This window comes from Homo sapiens, chromosome 13, assembly GCF_000001405.40.
Source record: "Homo sapiens chromosome 13, GRCh38.p14 Primary Assembly".
Classification (NCBI taxonomy): domain Eukaryota; kingdom Metazoa; phylum Chordata; class Mammalia; order Primates; family Hominidae; genus Homo; species Homo sapiens.
The window spans coordinates 41,705,716-41,726,326 of NC_000013.11; the positions used below are offsets into that span (position 1 = coordinate 41,705,716).

Here is a 20,611-nt window from a genome sequence, read left to right on the forward strand (position 1 = left end):
GTGAAATGAAGGGAATGATCTGTAAAGTTCCTTACAGCTTGGGGAGTCTGTGAGGATCAAGGAAGAGAGTAGAGAGAAGTGTCACTGGTAAGTTTTATAGTCTTGCATTGTCTTGATACTCTGAAGTGAAAATAAATAATCAGAATGAAAATATCTATAGTTACCAACAGAACAGATCCCCTGATAGATACACATGCTTTATTAAAGCATATAAAAACAAGCTCTGAATACATCCCAAATTGGTTCTTTGAAGACAACAGAAACAGTTTCACATCTTGAAATTTAATTTAATTCAGGGGAGATCATTAATTAAAACAATCTTTGGTTGATACCTAGCCTAAAAAATTGATCTAATATATTCTTTCATAAACCGTACCAAACAATCATATAAATGCTTTAAAAAAATAAAAAACCTTCATCCATTTGAGAAAAAGTAACTTTGCTCAACTTTCAGATTTTACTGACAATGCCAGGCATGTTCATAAAATCTGGTTTGAACTTGCCAACTCATTCTAAGTAAGTCATGGAAATTATATGTTGTCTGGCTCTATATAAAAATAGCACTGGCTGTTTGGTTGGCAGGGTATGGGAAGGACCTCCAGGTACCCTATACAGAATCTATTTCAGAACCACATAACATGATGCTATTTGGCAGTAATAACTAAACTGAAAGACACATAACACAGGGTGTCCTGGAGTTACACAATCAAACTGACTCCATCCTGTCCCTTGGTAACATGGGGTATTATTGTTTCCGGACTTTTACTGTAGGCTCTAGGCTGGCCAAACTGAGGTAAACCCAAGACCCTCATTTATTTTCCACTACTAAGACCTCTGAATAAGCTGTGGGAAAATTTGACCATTACTAACTTTCTCTCCCTTGGTAAGTTAGTAGTCAGGGGAAAGGGGAAGCATTGTATTATATTTCGGTAAATGAGCAAGCTTTGGAATTTGAAACATAATCAACATTAATTTAGGGGAAACTCTAAATAACCAGCTAGCAAAAGGCCCTCTATTCCCTTAGTGAACTATGTCATCCAACTCTGACCAGACTTAAGTTTTAATATCTGATTTGATTAAAACAATAATGGCATTTTCCATGGCTTTAAGACTTTGTCACTTGTATTGTTTAACTTTGTTAAAGTCCTAGCTGGAAAGATGTGTGGATTTGATTTCATGGGGAAGGAGAAGGAACTTAAGGCCCATAAATAGCACTACTTTTTATCTGCAATGTCATTCATGAATTTATGTTTTTTTAAAACAGTGAAATATTTCAGTTCCTATGTTTGTCATTTCTTAATCCCTTGTGGAAATGATAATAAGGATCTGGAAGTAAAAGTTTGGACTAAAAGAAAGGTGAGTATCATAATTATGACTCAGGTCAAATTATAGTATTTGAGCAAGTTACAGAAAGAACAAAAAAGGTTTTCTTTTTTTAAAAAACACACATACAATTCATAACATGATGCATATGGACACCAAAGCCAAGTACTATATAGTCTGAATGACATGCAACAGATTTGTCTAAGATTGCTTCCATAAAGAGGTGAGCTGGGTTTTAAAGAGTATGTTCTGGCAAATTTCTGCCTTCTCTGAACATTTGCCAATACTATTTTTGGAATATGAAAGAAAACACATGCAAAAGATTTGGATCTTTCTAGGGGCATTATGCAATTGGAAGTTGTTGACATACCTATTATCAACAATTCCGAAAACATTTCCTTACCACAAGAACTACTAATTTTCATGGGAATAATGGAACCCTTCAGGGCTGTTCCAACAACTCTCAAAAATTCAACAATTACTACCATCTTTGAGAAGAAAAATAACAACTCCAATTTTAGCAGGCCTCACTCATTCCTGATGTTTTAAATCTAATTTCTGGCAAAAATTAAGTTGAGTTGTCCAACAAAGTTCACTGGAGCCTTTCATGGAATAGCCCTGACTAATAATTCTGGCTTTGTGCTTATCCCTTCCTTTCAGTCTCAGCCACCTCAAACTATTAGTTGCTATTCCTGAATATGCTATGCATTTTCATGCTTCCAGGAGGCCATTACCTCTGCCTAGAATTCCTTTCTGCTCTGGCCTCCTTGGTGAAATCCTTCTTATTCCCAAGTGCCAATTCAAATGTCACTCCCCCTTGCATTACTCCCCACTCCCCTATATTCCTTTCTGGGAAAAATGAATTCCTTACACTTCTGGGTTTCCACATAAATTTATACATACAAAACTCCTAGAAACTCTTAGAATAAATTTCTATAGAATCTGTAATTTTCACATTAAAGACCTGAGAGAGAAAAAATTTTAGAGAGAGCAGGTCAGAAGTAAACCAAGAAATCCCTTAAAATATTTTTACATGGGGCCGGGTGCAGTGGCTCACGTCTGTAATCCCAGCACTTTGGGAGGCCGAGGCGGGCGGATCACCTGAGGTCGGGAGTTCGAGACCAGCCTGACCAACATGGAAAAACCCCGTCTCTACCACAAATGCAAAAAAAATTAGCCAGGCGTGGTGGCGCATGCCTGTAATCTCAGCTACTTGGGAGGCTGAGGCAGGAGAATTGCTTGAACCCGGGAGGCAGAGGTTGCAGTGAGCCAAGATCGCGCCACTGCACTCCAGCCTGGGAAACAAGAGCGAAATTTGGTCTTAAAAAAAAAAAATTTGTATGTACTAAAAGAAAAAGCCAGCACATTAAAGAGAGATAATACAAATGCCCCTTTACATACTTGAAATTAGTAACAATGGATACCATTATTAATTCCCAGTAATATCTTCCTTTATTTGCTAGAAACTTCAGAATGTCGCTTCCCTACCATCTCACAGGATGTTGGTAAATTAATTTGGCTTTGCTGCAAATGATGTATACCTGAGTATTTGTACATATTTTCTCTTTCTGTGCTTGGTTCTGCATTTAGCTATTATGGCTTCCACTTCATAACTTAGACTTGTATACCTCTCCCACCTAGGTCCTGCAGAGATCACAGAAATGCAGAGTAATCTAGATGTATGAGATGGAAGATTTTGGGAAATTTGCTATTCTTGGCAGGCACTTCTCAAATATACTCCCCGATACCCAGAATGACACTGTAGTTTAGTGCTGTTGCCCAGCGTCACTCAGAGCCAAAGCAGATGTTGTCAGCTTGCTCCACACATCTCTGGCTCTCTTCCTCCTCACAGAAGTTGCCAGACTAGTTCTGGGGCCAGGGTTTCCTTTCCTTCATCTTTCTTCACATTTCACTGAAAAAAAGTCTTCTCTCTTTCTGCCATCTGCTTTATCAGTTGCATCTTAGTATTTTCTAATCTTATGTTCTTTCCTTTTCTAATCGTCCACGACAAGAATAACTGGGACTGAAACTCTCCCAGTTGTTGAAAACTTTCCCAGAGAAAAATTTCCTGTATTTCTCACAAGGACTCACGGAATGAAAACTCTACTATGAATATAGCACTTTGAATATAACATTGCATAATAAGGTTGGTAGTTTTACATGTTTTCCTTACTAGAGTGTTAATGCATCGAGAGTAAGCCTTACATATTACTCATTTGGATCTCTAGTATTCAGAATCCATCAGTTCTGCCACCTAATCCTCTCTCGCTGTTGTACCTCTTTTTCATTGCCACGGCCACAATGTGGGCCTCATTCTTCATCACCTGGGTTACTGCAACTGCTTTGCAACAGGTCTTCCTGCCTTTAGGTTCACCGCCTTTCAGTTTATTACCTTTAGAAAACCAAAAAGGAGTCTTTTTAAATTAGAAAGGTAACCATGTTGTTCTCTGATTGAAACTCTGATCTCTTCCTTTCAGCCTCACCACTCAGCATGCTCTCATTTAACCCTGAGTTAGTTGCCAAAGGGCCTCTAATTTCCAAAATGCACCATATTTTCTTAAAATGTCTCCAGTGTTCTTCCCTTCTTTATTTGCCTGGAGAATAATTTAATGATTCAGCCTCTCTATCTTCACTGACTCTTCCCCAGGGCAGATGGCTGCAATCCTGAGTCTTGGTTCCCTCTTGTGTGGCTCTAACTTCACATGAGTCACTCTGTCTCTCTGTCTCTCTCTCTTTTTTTTTTTTTTTTAAGAAACAGGGTCTAGCTATGTTGCCCAGCTGGAGTGCAATGGCTATTCACAGGTGCAATCATTGTGCTCCACAGCCTTGAACTTATGGGCTCAAGGAATCCTCCTGCCTCAGCCTCCTGAGTAGCTGGGACTACAAACATGCACCACCACTCCTGGCTACAAGTCAGTCTTTCACTTGACAGCTTTCCCAATTAATTGTGATCGCTTCAAAGGCAGATAATGAGTCTTCGTCACCTTTATAATTCATACTCCCTATATGTTGTTTACCACTAAGTAAGCGTCTGGTAAATGAAAGAATGCTTGGTTATATTATAACTGCCAACATTTTGACCTACTTGTTTCTCATCTCAACGGCAATTTGCAAACTACTATGGTAAATTTTCCCTTTGCATTCTGATTACATGTCAACCATTTCCTTCACTTACAAGACTCAACAAATGATGCACTCTACTTTGCAGGTATATTTAGAAACGATAGCTACAGGTGGGGATTGGTGATTTCTATTCAGCTGGGAGACAGGCTTTCATAAAACATCACTTTTAAATGCTTAAGGGATCCAGAATCATTCTGTGCTACTGCATGCATGAGAGAAGATTCATAGATCTTGAAAATTTCTATGTAGATTCGTTTTGTATCCCCATAAATGAGCTAAAAGCAAATGGAATGGCTGTGAAGCTACTTCATAATATGCCAAGAGAATATAAGGCAAAGACTATGACAATATAAAACTCATCACCACTCTTCTGCTTATGGCACTTTTGAGATGTCATTAAGTAGACTTTATCATTTTTGAAACAAACAGCTCTTTTCTGAAATGAAATTAAATAGTCATTCAGAGTGGAATTGTACACCTTAGAACTCCACGATCAACACCATGAACTTATTTGAAAAAACTATGACTACAAAAAGAAAATTATGACATATAATAATTCGGGAAAATGAAAGAAAGGCACAAAACTTTAAACAAAGAATATTTTATGTTAGTTGGATAAACAGTAAACTGATAATCATTCTGACTTTCAAAGAGAATCTAATAAACGTATTCCAAAGAGAGGCCCTGGCAGGGGGATGTTCTTTTTGATGCCTCTGATACTTTGAAGACTCCATAGTTGTTCTTTGTTAGAGAAGTAGCAGCTGCTATTGATGGCACAACTATGTAAATTTTTAAAGCAGAAAACCGATTCTAGGCAGATGTCCTTTCAAGGGCAAATTCAAAAGAGATGAAGCTTTCTGTCTGCAAATATGCACATCTGGCACTGCTCTGAAAAGATAAATACTAAGTACAATCCTGTAACACACACTGCAGTACACACAAATGAAAACACAATCTCAGCTACTTTCATCAGGGGTAATACTAAAATATGTTGATGCATCAAAAGTAAGGGTTACATCTCTGATATAAGGGAAGGAAGTTACTACTTATTTGGCTTCCCTATTCAATTAGGGACAGTAGATGACAGAAGCTATGAGTTGGAAGGACGTTAAGGACTATTTAATTCATTGTTCTAAGTCTGAATCCTCTCAAGTGCCTCCCCAAAAAGGTTTGTCCAGATCTGTTTGAACCCAATCTACAGAAAGTACACCTTCTCTTTGTCCTCAGTAGTCTATTCCTTCTTTGAATGAATATAGGAGCTATTAGCCCCCCAAAGGAAGCCTACTCTAAGTTGTAATGACTTAATAGCAACTTACAGGTACACAGGTAATGCACAGGGATTTATGATTAATCTGTTAAAGTGATTATATTAATGATCGTAATTTTGAAGATCATAGTACTAAGTAAAGGATTTTTATAAAAGAAATTTCAGGCCGGGCATGGTGGCTCATGCCTGTAATCCCAGCACTTTGGGAGGCCAAGGCGGGCAGATCACGAGGTCAGGAGATCGAGACCATCCTAGCTAACACGGTGAAACCCCGTCTCTACTAAAAATACAAAAAATTAGCGGGGCGTGGTGGCGGGTGCCTATAGTCCCAGCTACTTGGGAGGCTGAGGCAGGAGAATGGTGTGAACCTGGGAGGCGGAGCTTACAGTGAGCCGAGATCATGCCACTGCACTCCAGCCTGGGCGACAGAGCGAGACTCTGTCTCAAACAAAAAAAAAAGAAATTTTAAAAAGAATTGTTCTATTCATTTTGAAGAATTTGTTAATGCAAACACTTTTTTTTTTTTTAAAGCAAAAGCAAATCCTTATTGCAGGAGAAAAGATTTAGGATACAAATACTACATGTTCTCACTCATATGTGGGAGCTAAAAAACTTACCTCATGGACATAGAGAATGGAATGATAGATACCAGAGGTTGGGAAGGTTGAGTGGGTGGGAGGGGCTTATGAAGAGAGGTTGGTTGATGGGTACTAAAATACAGTTAGGTAGAAGAGATATGTTCTAATGATTGATAGCAGACTAGAGTGACTATACTTAGCAATAACATTTTGTATATTTCAAAGTAACTAGAAAACAGTACTTGAAATGACACCAACACATAGAAATGAGAAATATTCAAGGACATGGATACCCCAAATACCCTGACTTGATCATTATACATTTCATGCATGTAACAAATACTCACATGTGCTCCATAAATATGTAAAATATTATGTATCAATAAAAAAAGATTTAAGATAATCTGCTCAGATTTTATAGAAGGGATGTGTTTATTAATTCCTGGAATCAATGACAAATAACATTAATATGAGGAAAACTGTAATTAAAAGAATAGGCCTAGTCCTCAATGCAAATATCTGATCCATGTTTCCAAATGGTAGAAAATAGAATTTGAAAGACAACTCTAAAGCTTCCATTATCTTTGAAATCTCCATATCTAATGTTGTATTGCATGGCTTTTCCCATGAAAACAGTTGACTAAACATAAAGATGATGTTTGGAATCAGAGAGATCTGTGGTTGAATGCCCCGTTCTATCACTTATTGGTTGTAGAATTTATTTAAGGTCTCTTGAATTTCCGTTTTTTAATCTGTAAAACAGATTCAAACACACAAATGTACATACCCCAAAACCTAATAGATAATAGAAAAAAATTACTTAATAGAAAAAACAATATTGTAATGTAGATTAGATGAGCTAACATTTGTAAAGTGCTTAGAGCACTTAATAAAGACTTGATAAATGTCAACTATTTTTATTTTTGCTGCTTTAAAAATGTGTTGTCTACCCTCACTTGATATGTTTATGTTGACACCTACCAATGCATAAACTTACTTATGCATTGGTAGGTTTAACTTCTGGTTAAAATGCCATAGAAATGCCTAGTTAACTTGATTTTTCACTTGCCGTTGGCAAAAGTGCCAATGTTCTGCCATTAGAGTAGGCACTGCTGTGTGGTATAAGCTTTGCTGTACTGGAGGCAAAGGTTCTAAGAAACAGCAATTTCAGCACAGGCCTTTAAAATTTTCATTTAAATAAGAGGACAAAATGAAAAATTCCAGTGTCCGGAGAGTCAATAGACATTTTACAAATAAAATGTAGAAAATAATACATGTGTTAGAAAATTAAAATATTACTAAATGTGATGCATCCTTTTCTCTTTCTAGGGCCTCTCTCAAAAACAACCACTACAAACAGCTATCCCTGTGTTCTGAAATAGTTTAAAAAGTGAACCTATTATATTTAATAAAAATATTGGCTATTATGGTCTTAGAACGTGTTAATTCAAAGTTACCTTATTTTGCCTGAAACACAAAATGTAAAAAATTTTAATTAAAGCATTAGAAGGCAGGAAGAAAATGCATAACAACAGGAAATCTGAGGAGTAACTACAAGACTTCATTAGGGCATCCTTTCCAGCTACAGGACACTTTTAAAGTACAGTCTCATATCACAGTTATTTTTAGATGTGCAGTTTATCTGGCAAGAGCATTTTTATATGTCTGAAAAGGATGATGACATTTAAACCTATGCATAAAGACACAAAGCACTGATACTAATGTTTTTAATCCTGATGAGAACATCTCATATACTTTATGAATCTTGTTCATTATGTTTAGAAAAAATAAGTTTACAATTTCAAGGAATGAGGGAAATGGAGAAAAAGTAGAGATGGGAAAGAAGTGTTAGACATAATTAAATAAATTTATTTTTGATAACTTTCTTTCCAACAAATTAGCTTGTGAATGAAGTGTCTTAAGAAGAACTCCTGGAATATCTCTTCTATTATGTCAAAAAGAAAGACTCAAGAAAATAAAAATAATTAGAAAGAAATATTTTTCAGTGCATGAAATAACACATACAGTCACAGGAAAAAGTCTAGAAGGATCATCAATGGCTATTTCTGGATGGTAACATTACAGGAGTTTTTATTTTCTTTTTGCTGATTAATTTTAAAAATAAATGGGATGCCATTCTTCATTTAGTAAATATCATCATAAAGAAAGCCAACATCTAAAAAACTTTTTAATTTCCTTAGTTTTTTTTTCTATTTGACTGATAGAAATGGATGTTTGTTAAATAATAGCTAGTTTGCTAGTGACAAATAGGCATTGAATGCTCTGGGAGGAAAAGTAGCTTAATATGAAGTAAGTAGTTTAACATCAAGTAAGTAGCATTAAAAAAGAAATCAACAGAATTAAGGGCAAAGAACTTGGAGCAGAGAGAATGAACATTTAAGTATTTTATAGAATGTGTGTCTCCTAGAGAAGGCAGGGAGAGAAAAACACATGAAGGTAACTTCAGAGGATAGAGACAATTTCTCTGTATGCTTATTTAAAAAATTACCACAATCTTTGAGAAGTCTATAAATTTCTTTTGTGTTCCAAATCAAGAAGAAATGATGGCTAGTATACTTCTTATATAAGGTAGTCATACAAAGTTTTCTAAGGTTTTTATTTTTCTAAGTGAATCACCTTGTGTTTTATTTTTTGATCCTCCATATGTCACAAGAAAAGGAAACTTAAATGAGAATGAAGAGGTCTCCAAAATGATCTCTGTTGTGCCAAAAGTCTCTATTTATCTGCTTCGTGGTTACTCTTCACTTTGAACTATGGCTAAAATCCAAGCATCTGAATCTGTTATAATTCCTTGAAGAATAAGAATTTGTATATTGTATGTACATGACATCACGGTCAATGATGAGTTCCAAGTTGGTTACTTAAAATCCCAAGGTCCTTTTAAGCCAAAACTATTGATAATTTTCAGTATCTAAATAACTACTCTGATCTAGAAATTCCCTGCAATCTACATATCAATCTGTTTATATCATCCTTAGAATTGGAATTAATATTACATATAGCCCAGCTGTACCCCTGCTTTCTAACCTCCAGCAAGTTACATAACTTCTCTGTGCCTCAAATTCCTCATCTACAAGATGCAATAATATTATATATATGCCATAGGTCCGTTGGGAGAATTATATACATTTATGTAAAGAAAGTGCTTGGAAATATGTCTGGTACGTAGTTATCTATAAATGTTTCTATTACCATCATCAATATTATTGTACTACCATCATTATTACCATTATTATGAAATATAATCATAACATTGTTGTTGTTATAATTATATTTAGAAGTATTTACATTTCATTGTTGATCTATGAAATGACAATTTTCTCATCTTAAGAACTGGAAAGTTAGAGCGACATATAAATTTAAGATAAAATAGTGTATAAGTTTCTTAAAATGGAAATCTCATGAAAAAGATAGCATTTTTTTCTTTCTTTAAAACAAATGTTTTCCCAGTATAGCAGATTTCATAAATTATTCTGAAACACACTTTTTAATTTGGAAGTGCTAATGTGCTAGCAGTATGTTTATTCCCAAATAAAAGAAAGTTCAGACATAAAAGTTCACTTGAGGAAAAAACAGGCAAACTTTGCTTTAAAGTTTATATTTATAGTTGTCTATACTGAAGTATAGCAGATAATCTATGCCTTTGGTTGGATGTTTGGACCTAATTCTCTTAAAATATATATGTTACAAAGATATTTCCAATAACAACATTTAAAATTCAAGAGTTTCAATTTTAACATAAATCCTCCTATCTCTCCCTACAATACTGACAAAATGACATTAGTACATGCAACACACACATATAGCATCAATTGTCTTGTTTCTCTATAGGCCAAATCCCCATCTTGAGTGTGGGGATGATCATCTTTTCTTGATTCATAGATGACATACAGTTGTTTCTCTATAGGACAAATGTCACAGAATTAAATTCAACCCCCATATAAAGCATAGTATTCATATTTTTAAAAATACTTTCTCCCGTATACTTCCTTATTTGGTTATGTTTGCCTTCTCTTGGCATGTCCTGTCCCATGTATTAGAAACTTAAAAGAGGAGCAATAACAAATCTCAGGAAGTACTAGTGGAAAGGGGCAAATGCAGTGGGTGGGTGGGGTCTAGGTAGCCAATTCTGATCCTGGTACTAAGGTCTGGGAATATATTTGCAGATAAGGAAGAAGAGCTCCATTATGGCAGGATCAAGTAAAATAAAATAACCACCCAATAAGACTCAGTCTAAAAATACCAGGTTTAGCAAAAGTTTATTAAAGAAGACAAGTTAAATTCACCTCATCACATTGGGCCTTTAAAAAATGTGCAGAAACCTGTGAGATAGATAACATCACTGCACTCTTTAGGAGAACAAAAGGGAAAGTGACAGCATCTCTCTTTTGGGAATTTTGCCAAAGAACACAAAAATAACATCACCGCTACTGAACAGACAAGTATATTCTGATTTCAGTTGAGGAAGAAGGTGCTGTAGATAGCTACACAAATAGTGGTTTAGCATTATCTTGGCCCTTGTAAAAAAATTCCCCCTTCTAAAACATCTGACTTATATCTCTTTTTAGCTATATGTAGTGGGTGGCCAATTATCTTTCCATCCCCATCCTGAGTGTGGGTATGATCATCTTGTTCTAGTTTCAGTGTAACTTTACTCCCATCAATAAGCACTGCGGTTGGATTAGAGAACATGAAAATTAAGTTGTAGCAAGAACTGTTCATTCAGGGCAAAAAGATACTAATAGTATTAAACCATTTTATCCTTCTTCCTTAGGAACTGAAATCCAATGTGTATCTTCCCCACTAACAGTAGCTGCAGAGCTGGGTAGAAGCAGCCTACAAGAACTGGTTTAGCAAAAGGTCTAGAAAAGTCAAAGTGAAATCAAAGACTGCATGGGGAAGACTAACTTTTTGGCGGTCTATGTGATTACCATCAACAGTACACTACTTGGGGGGCAGGGGTGGAAAGGGGGAATGAAAAGTGTTAGTATCACATATTTTTATGTTTGTTTTTGCAGATGAGATAAACATTAAGATTATATTAAAATTCAAAGGATGTTAGAATAGAAAGGAACCTTACTGATGATCCACAATGAAGATAATTGCATATTCTGGCCTGGCCAGGGCAGTCTTATTTTACACTCTTTTTACAGAATTATTGTCAATAGCTCCCCCTGCCTTTCTCAAAAATGTCCTGATTTAGATGGTAAATCAAATATTTTTAAAAATAATTTCTCCCAGTGTACTTCCTTAATATTTTTAAATATTTGAATATTTAAATATTCAAATATTTTAAAATATTTTTAAAAATCAAATAGATATGCTATGTATAAGAAAAGGCCCTCTGTACCAATAGAGAATTAGTTAAGTAACTTCTCTAAATTCAAATGACCAAAATGGAATGGTGAGCTCTTTGAGGGCAGGATTCTGTCTTGTCATCTGTTTCTCCATGGCTGATCCAGGTAGACAGGTGAACATATGACTAACTGCTAAATTCCCAGGCCATTACTTTGTTCACTTTGTCATCCTACTCTCTCTAAGTACAAGGCTGATAATTTGATAGAAATTGCTACACTTTGTCATCCTACTCTCTCTAAGTACAAGGCTGATAATTTGATAGAAATTGCTACGGAACCTGTGAATTTCAAGAAGGGCAATAAAACAACACTACTTTTGAGCAGCCTAAGTTATTGCAATTAACAGATGAGGAAAAAATTGCTCTGAATGACTGTGGAAATTATAGCCTACTCTGATCTCCTTCTAAAAGGAAAATTCACTCTTCCTTCACATCTGCTTAAGTCTATTTCTAGCTATATGCGGTTGGGGGACAACTAGTTGTTTCTATCCCCTTGTAATGCAAGAGTGTGACCAACTTGTTTCCAGGCTCAAAGTACTTCTGCTTCTACTCAAAAGTACTAGAGTTAGAATTAACTTGCCATAGCAATAATTTTTCTGTTTAGAACTGAGGATGACAATGAATAAGTTAAACCATTTTTAGTTTCTTCCTTAGAAACTAAAATTGCTTTATAAGTAAAAATTTTATCATGATTAACCTTACCAATTAATATGTATTTTAATTTTTATTTATAGTCATGCAAGAGTAGAAAAAGAAATTGTTTTAAAATCATGAGCTTAGTTTCCATAAAGCCAGTACTCTAATTATATAAATTTGTTAATGGTAATAAAAGCCATCTTATTTCCAGCTAAAAATAAAGGGAGTTTACAAAAACGAAGTAAATAACTTAAGTTTGCATATTAAAGAAAATTTATAATAGAAAGTTTGCATATTAAAGAGGATCTCTTGAACTCTCTTATACAGACAATTTGTTATACCCATTAAATTACTGACCTAGTTTCAAATGCCCATAAGGACTGCTAATCCATCAGTAAAATAGCATTGTGCCAAAAAAAAGTGTGCATTTGCAACTGCCACCCAGTCATTCTTCTGGAAAATAATTTACTTATTCATTAATAATATAAACCAATGCACGGATAATATAATTTCTAAGATAAGTCCATCTTATTCTTTTAACACAGAAGGGAAATATTTGTTTCTCTTTTAGAAATTCCTGATACTTTAATAATTTATTTCTATTGGCATATATCCTGACAAGTTTTTATAATGACTTCAAAGAATCAATAAATATGGATGAGTATACACTTTGGAGATTATATATATATATATATGCAACTTTTTTTGCTAATCACTGATTTATATTTAATATATAATCAGTGATTTATATTTATATTTAACACATTTTTTTCTACAGAAAGATAGTGTCTCCTTTTGGGGCTAAAATTGAACAGTAATTTAAAAGTGATTATTATCCCCTATGAATTTATAATTAACTATTTTTATAGACAAAGATGGTATTAGATGCATTATCAATAAGTTAGGCATATTGAAAACTATTTTCTAGTGAATTTGTGCTGACTTAATTACTCTACTAAAAAACTCTGTCAATTACTTTTCTGATCAACACCATATGTGCAAGATTCTTAACTAACATTAAGTAGTAGCCTATGATTATAAAATAAAGGGTAGGCAACTAGCTCACATGAAATAAACCCACTAGTTCTTACTACCTCTTTCATCTATGAAGCTGACATAAGTAACCAAAAATCTCTCTAGTTAACATGATCATAAATTTAGAAAATTATCATAAAGAAAACTATATAGTAACAGAAATAAGAACATATCAACTAAATGTACATTATCTCTATGTGATTTTCATGCTCGTACAATGATGTGCACTGGATTATACGAAATAGTAATACGCATAGTAATTCAACAAAAGGACTGAGACTGTTAAAGAAACAAATATTTCCCTTTATTTATTACATCTACTCATGGGACATACATAATAATCAAAATTTTCAATTTACAGGCCTATAAATAATGCTATTTAACTGAAAAGCAGCCAGCAAACAGCAACATATACATGTATTTGAAAAGCTTACTCATGGAAAGTAATTTCCATAGCAACTCAGTTTTGTAGAATGGAATGATAAATCAAGAACTATCAGCATTTAAGAATCAGAAGAGTACTGAATTTGCCTTACTCCTTTGCCAGCTGCACACTGGTAGGCTTTGCTCCGATAGGTATCCCGTATTTGTGTAAAGTGTTAATCAATATCTCCCTCATGTCATTGTTGTAGGAATCAAAGTCAAACACATTTCGAACTACACTGGAGAGACCTTCAGTCGGAAATTTCTGTATTAAAAAAAAATTCCCTTATTATGCATGTGATAAAATATACAACATTATAAAGATTTATGAAATGGATAGGACAATAATGATCAAATGAACTACAGCAGAAATTTACTGGCCTTGTCAAATAAGCAGGTAGTAGGAATGTAGACATTTTTCCCTTTCAGTGTTTGCTCAGATGACTTAACAATATTTTCCTTTTTAAATAAATGCCAGAATTTGAGGGGAAAGAGTTCCTCCTCTCAAATGTTAGAGCAGTGCCTAGATCCTGGTGTCAGTGATTGCCACTGCTTTCTGAAATCTCCTGCCTTTAATATGAGTACCAGATCGAACAGTTTAAAAATGCTAGTTATGTAAAGGAGCGTGTTAAATATCTATACTGAAGTTTTCAGAAAAGTCAGTCTATGAATAAATGAAGAAGAAAAGATAAAGCAACAAGAAAAGAAGGAAAGAACATAAAAAGTGCAAACAACAGAGAAACAGGGAGCAGTAGAGGGCAAGAAAACAAGTATGACTACAACTGAATTTACACTGCTCATGTCCTCTGAGTCCTTTCCTGGGTCTGCTTTGATTTTCTTTAGGTGATGGGTTCTGAGCTGGCTGAATTGGACTTACGGTTTTATAGGCAGAACAAAGCTGTTATTTTTAATCTTGATTTCTTTCCATATATTTTTAATTGACAAATAATAACTGTATATATTTATGGGGTACAATGTGATATTCCAATGTATGTATGCCTTACAGAATGGTTAAATCACACTAATTAATATATCTATCATTTAACACACCTTTATTTATGGTACAACCATTACTTAAAATCTACTTTCTCAGCAATTTCAAAATATACATTACATTGATATTAACTATAGTTACCAGGCTGTGCAATAGATCTCAAAAACTTATTTCTCCTGTCTAACTGGAACTTTGTATCCTTGGATCAACATCTTCCCCTGTGTGTATTCTCCCTGCCCCACCTTTCTACTTTTCTTTCTAGGGTTTTCTTGGAGGGTTGGGGATAAGGCAGAGGTCAAGAGTTGTTGGGTTGTGACTGTTAGCTTGGAGACCCTTATTTGTTCTGTAAGTAAGATTTATATTATTTTTTATTTGTTTGTTTTCTTTACTAAGGTGGAGTACACATTGTACATGGTCGCAGGAAATTTCATTCTCCTGCCTACTCTATCTTGTGAAACTTCCTTGCGGTATTTACAGGTATTTAATCAGTACGGTTAGTTCCTACTCTGTTTACTGTTGTCTCCATGTGATTTGCTTCAAAATGAAAATATTTTTTACCTGCATACCACATGCTTGTTGTAAAAAGCCAAAGAACAGAACAGGAAGGTTTCCCCACTGACTCACTCTCTTGCTTCACCTGCCCTCTAACAGCCTCCCACCAAATTTCCTAACTCCTTGGTAATGATTACAGACTTTGCCAAAGTTAATTCAAAAGCTGAACAGATAATAATGTTCATTGGCCTACCATATTTATAACTTAGATTATACACATTTCAAATCATGTAATCTGACTCATTATTGTATTTATGGAAATTAAAAACTCTGGTACAAACTGTACAGTCTGAAAAAATAAAAAAGAGAGTGATGGCTCTTAGGTACAGGTGTGTGCCATACCTACCTGTAAATGTTTGACTATGTTGACAACTTCTCTGGTAGAATAAGGATAGTTAATAATCCCTTGGTCAGCCAAACTCCTCAGCTCTCCAAAGGCAGCCACAAGCTTCTGAAGGATGGGCTCAGGCACATTTGGTCCATACTGTCTGAGCATCTCGAGCTCCGAGTGGGGTTTGGGGTTATCAACTGCATGGCAGCTAAAAATATCACCTAAAGGAGAGAAAAGATTCACATTCAGTATGCAACAAATCCATTACGATGTCACAGGAAAAAATGGAATGGTTGTTTAAAGAGCCACTGGTTGCTCATCAAAGCATAGAAAGCCCATCCAACAATAGGATGGTACAGAGAAGAAAGCAAAAGACTGAAGCAAAAGAAAAGAAAACTGGGTGATGGATGGTTTATCTCCACGAATTTATTTTTGTTAAAAAACTTACATAATACTTGAATACATGCTCACCGGGAGATATTCCAATACAAAGAGGAAAAAAAATTCTCCTTTAAGTCTATGCCAATGCCACTCCCTCCCCAAAAAGCACTGAGTCTTAATGTTTAGCGCATTTATTTTTCCAGACCTGTATTAGCACTTTTTTTAAAAAAATGCATACATGCAAACAGAGTTTAGATAATTTATTCCTTTTCTATTAATGGGAATATATATTTCAAATGGTTCTGAGACGGCCTTTTTAACTTCAACAAATGTTGAGTATCTTCAAAAATTATATACATCTATCTCATATAAATGCTTCTTTATGTACTAAAAAAGGGAGAATTAGTAGCATCACTCTCTAAAAAATTTGTATCTTGTGCAGATTGATAGAATATACTTTAGAGGTTAGTTTTGGTAGAGTAAACCTGTAGAGACATTGTCTGAATTAAAATCAAGAAAAGGAATGTAGAAACATAATAATATTTCATCTGTAATTTAGGGAAATGAGAATGTACTAGAAAAATAATTCTATTGATTCATAATCTAAGAGACCAGGGATCAAATGAAGTAAAAGTAAATAGACTTACATTATTTAATATGTTCATTTTAGAAAATGAGGATATCTAGTAAGGTAGCAATAAGATCTTACTTTGATTTAGGAACCATTTGAACAGTTATTTTGTATGTGTGTATTTAAAAGCAATTGAATAAAATGAAAGCCATGATATCTTCAAAATTTTATCTCATATACTAAAGCTTTTCAAATACAAAGGTGAAGAATGGCTTTTGCCTTTTTTGCTGAAAATAAAACCTATCACTAACATAAAAAGACAATTGACCCCTCATTCATTTACTCATCAAATAATGATTAATTAGGACAGTAGAAATGGTGATGCTGGGGGAGGTCAGTCAGGTAAACCTCATGAGAAGGTAATATCTGAGCAAATGTTGATACCTGGGGGAAGAGCATTCCAGGCAGCTGGTACAGCTAATCCAAAGAACTTAAGGCAGGCATACCTGGCATATGGAAGGAAGAGGCAGGAGAGCAGAGTGGATGGAATAGAGGAAGTGGATAGAGCAGCACCAAGCAGTACAGGACACGAGGTTACAGACATAGGAGGATGTGGGAGACATACTGTGTAGGACACTGCAAACTGTTGTAAATACTTGTACCTCTACTCAGAATACAATGGGAAGCCATGGAGGATTTTAGCAGAGGCGTGGACTACTGTGCTGTGAACACACCACAAAAGGGTGTAGGAAGATAAATATCTTGTGAGCAGAGGCACTGACCACATTGACTGTATTTCCAAGAATATCTGAAGAGCAAACAGTGCAGCCTTGGAAAACATATTCTCTCTCTCTGTCTCTCTCTCTTTCTTTCTTTGTAAGAAGGTAATTTGGGTTACCTAAGCTCTGGGTTCCTCTTCTATAAGGCATCTCACTATAAGTGCAGGTATCATTTGGCCCTCTTTCTGTTGCCCTGTGGGAAGTGGGGCTTGAGGAACCAACACAAATGCTGGTACTTTGACTACTGCTTTTGCTGAATAATCATTCCTCTTTTGTCTGTGACTCAGGAGTCTAGTGTCTTCTGCCATGAAAGCCTTCTGTGGCAGGCTAACTTGTTAGCTTAAAAGTAGAGTAAACTCTTAGATCTTTCACAGTTCATAACAAAGAATAAGGCTGGAAGCAGGGCGACCCATTAGGGGACTATTTGAAGTAATCCAGGTAAGAGACGATGGTGGCTCAGATCATAATGGTGGCAAATGGAAGTGATGGGGAAAGTAAGATAATTCTGAATATATTTCGAGGGTATAGCCAATAAGATTGCAGGATATTTGGAAAAGAGCATAAGAGAAAGAGAGAAACAAAAAATGAATTTGGAGTTGTCATTAACAGAGATTTACAAAAGACTATAAATTAATCAGGTTTAAGAAAAAAAAGTTCATCATGGACATGTTAAATTCGAGATACAGGAGCTATTGAACTGGAAGCTGGATATGAGTGTGAAGTTCAGGAGGAAGGTCTGGGTTGGAGATGAATATTTGGCAATAACAGGCATATAATTGGTAGTCTAAAACATGACACATTCTGATTTTATTAAAGGAATGAGTATAGATAGGTAAGAGAACCAGGGCCTGAGCCTTGGGACATTCTAACAAGCTCCAACAAATAAGGCTGAGCAGGAATAGTTATTAAGGTAAGAAACCAAGAACATACTTGAAGAAGTATTGTAAGTCAAGTGAAGGAAAATGCATCAAGGAGAAGAGAGTGACTAACTGTATCAACTATATACTATATTAAATACTGCTGGTAGATTCAGTACGATGAGGACTAAGAATCAACCACTGGATTTAGCAATAGAAAAGTCACTAATGACCTAGATAAGAACAGTTTCTGTGGAGTAATGGGAGCAAAAATCTGATTAGAATGGAATTAAGTGAGGATGGTACAGAAGAAACGGAGATAGCAAGTGTAGACAACTCTTTTGAGTACAAATGACTGTGAGGAATTTTGTTACAAAGGAGAAGAAAAAAGTAGCAATAGATCGCAAAAAGAGTAAGATTAAGAGGTTTGTGTGTGTGTGTGTTTTGAAGATGAAGGAAATAGCCTGATTGCAGATGGGAATAATGTAAGGAGAGGGAAGCTGCTGATACAGGAGAGGGAGGGCAGAACAGCTAGAGCAGCAACCTTCAAAAGGCGGGATCTGGTGCTCATCTGGAGGGACTCCCTCTAGATGGGAATGTGAACAGTTTACCTGCAACAAGTGGGAAAGCAGGGCATCATAGGTGGAAGACTTGGTTGTAGGAGTCTGTGGACATTTGTTTTTAATTGCTTTCGTTTTTCTCAGTGCAGTAGGAAGACAGGAGAAAATAACAGAAATCTAAAAGAAAGTCAGTAAACTGAATCCTGGTTAGCAATGGGGAAGGAATGAGACTGGTGGGAAAATGAAAGAGAATTTCCCTTTCCCCTCCATAAGCCCTTCTATATTTCAATCTCTTGCAGTAAGTGAATGTTCAAGTATTGTATAATTTTAAAACAAAAAGAAATTCATGCAGCAGTGTTGGAGCTGCGAGGAGAGAGAAGATATGAATTACCCTAGGAGAACAGGAAAGTGAAAGGTCTACCGAAGCACGGTGTGACTGCATTTAGGGACACTTGAGGCCCATTGTTAAGAATCTGAAATGAGATTGGTCAGTTTTGGGCTTTTTCTAACCACATTCAGCTGCACATGTGTAGGTTCAATGTTGTTAGAGAGTTGGCAGTAACCAACTCTCTCCCTCTCAAGGGCAGAGGGGTTCCAAGTGCATAGGACAAGCTAAGAGAGGAAAAGGGAAGCTGAAGAATAATATATGTAAGGGAGTCATAAATGTGAAAGATCATGGAATTGAAGCTGGGTAAGAAAAAAAAAGGCTGGGTAAAGGAGAAGAAAATATATCAAGGTGGGTAGGTGAAAAGGTGGTAGGATCAATGGATTGAAGCTTCTCATACATTTGAAGAGTTATTGGATTTGGTGTAGTAGAGGGAGTAACTGGAAAGACTGGAGGTGGTGAATGCATAGATGAGATAAAAATCCCAAGGACAATTGAGGACAGAATATGAAACGGAAATTACAGAAGTGTCAGTCGTAGAAACTAGCCATGAATGTCTAAGATATGGTATAAGATAAGACTGCTGGAATAAAAATATCCAAGGAGCCAAGAGGCCAGAGAGTGGGAAGGGTCACATATGTGTATACTGCAATCACTCCAAAAGAAGAGTAGGGTTGGAGAGAATGAAAGCGAGTAAAGGGCTAAAGATCAATAAGAAGTGACAAGGATGAATAGGGGTAGATGACAAAACAAGAGCAGATGGCACATATGTTTTAGGATTTGGAGGTGGATGGAAGATGGAGACAGAACAGGGAGTGAGTATTCTTACAGGCATTAAAATAAATGTGATAAGGAGTGGCTTGGGGTATAAGGGGTGACCTACAAACATAAAAAGAACTCAAACCTCTTTACAATTAGAAACAACTTTTCTTTGGTGTGTTTACATTATTACATCTCTAAGTGCATCAGTAATCTATGAATTGTTAGTAACTTTTAAGGTATTATCTGCACATAATAAAAACTACAAAAATAGTATAACTGAGTATTTTATATTCCCATCCCTAACTTCCATTGCAAACAATGCCTTATCAGATTCTTGTGGACCTTTCTGAAGAAATTCTATGCATATACAAGCATATGCATGTACACATCCCTCCTGCCTTTTCCAAAACATATGAACGGGTAAACTACTATACCCACTTTACTTACTTATTGTTTCAATTACTATTTTGAGTATTGATTTTTTTTTTCTATCAGCATCAGTAAACTTATTCTCTTTTTTTAAACAACTGCATAGCATTCTATTGTGTGGATACAAAAAAATTTCTTTATCCAGTCCCATTTAGATGGATATTAGGGTTGTTTCCATTCTTTCTACTATAAACAATGCTATAGTGCCTATCCTTGTACTTAAACATTGTATAGGTAAATTCCTTGGA

General features: G+C 35.4%; 1 protein-coding gene across 2 annotated transcripts in view; it reads right to left on the minus strand.

Moving 5' to 3' along the window:
* Positions 1–20,611, minus strand: part of VWA8 (von Willebrand factor A domain containing 8) — a 394,275-nt gene that overhangs the window by 138,881 nt on the left and 234,783 nt on the right. The window contains exons 25-26 of one of the 2 annotated variants that reach the window (NM_015058.2): positions 15,655–15,860; positions 13,876–14,027 (exon numbers count right to left, since the gene is read on the minus strand). In NM_015058.2, the coding sequence (NP_055873.1) occupies positions 13,876–14,027; positions 15,655–15,860 (358 nt within the window). Of the gene's footprint in view, positions 1–13,621; positions 14,028–15,654; positions 15,861–20,611 lie in introns of those variants that run through there. The other variant, NM_001009814.2, reaches the window with a different exon arrangement.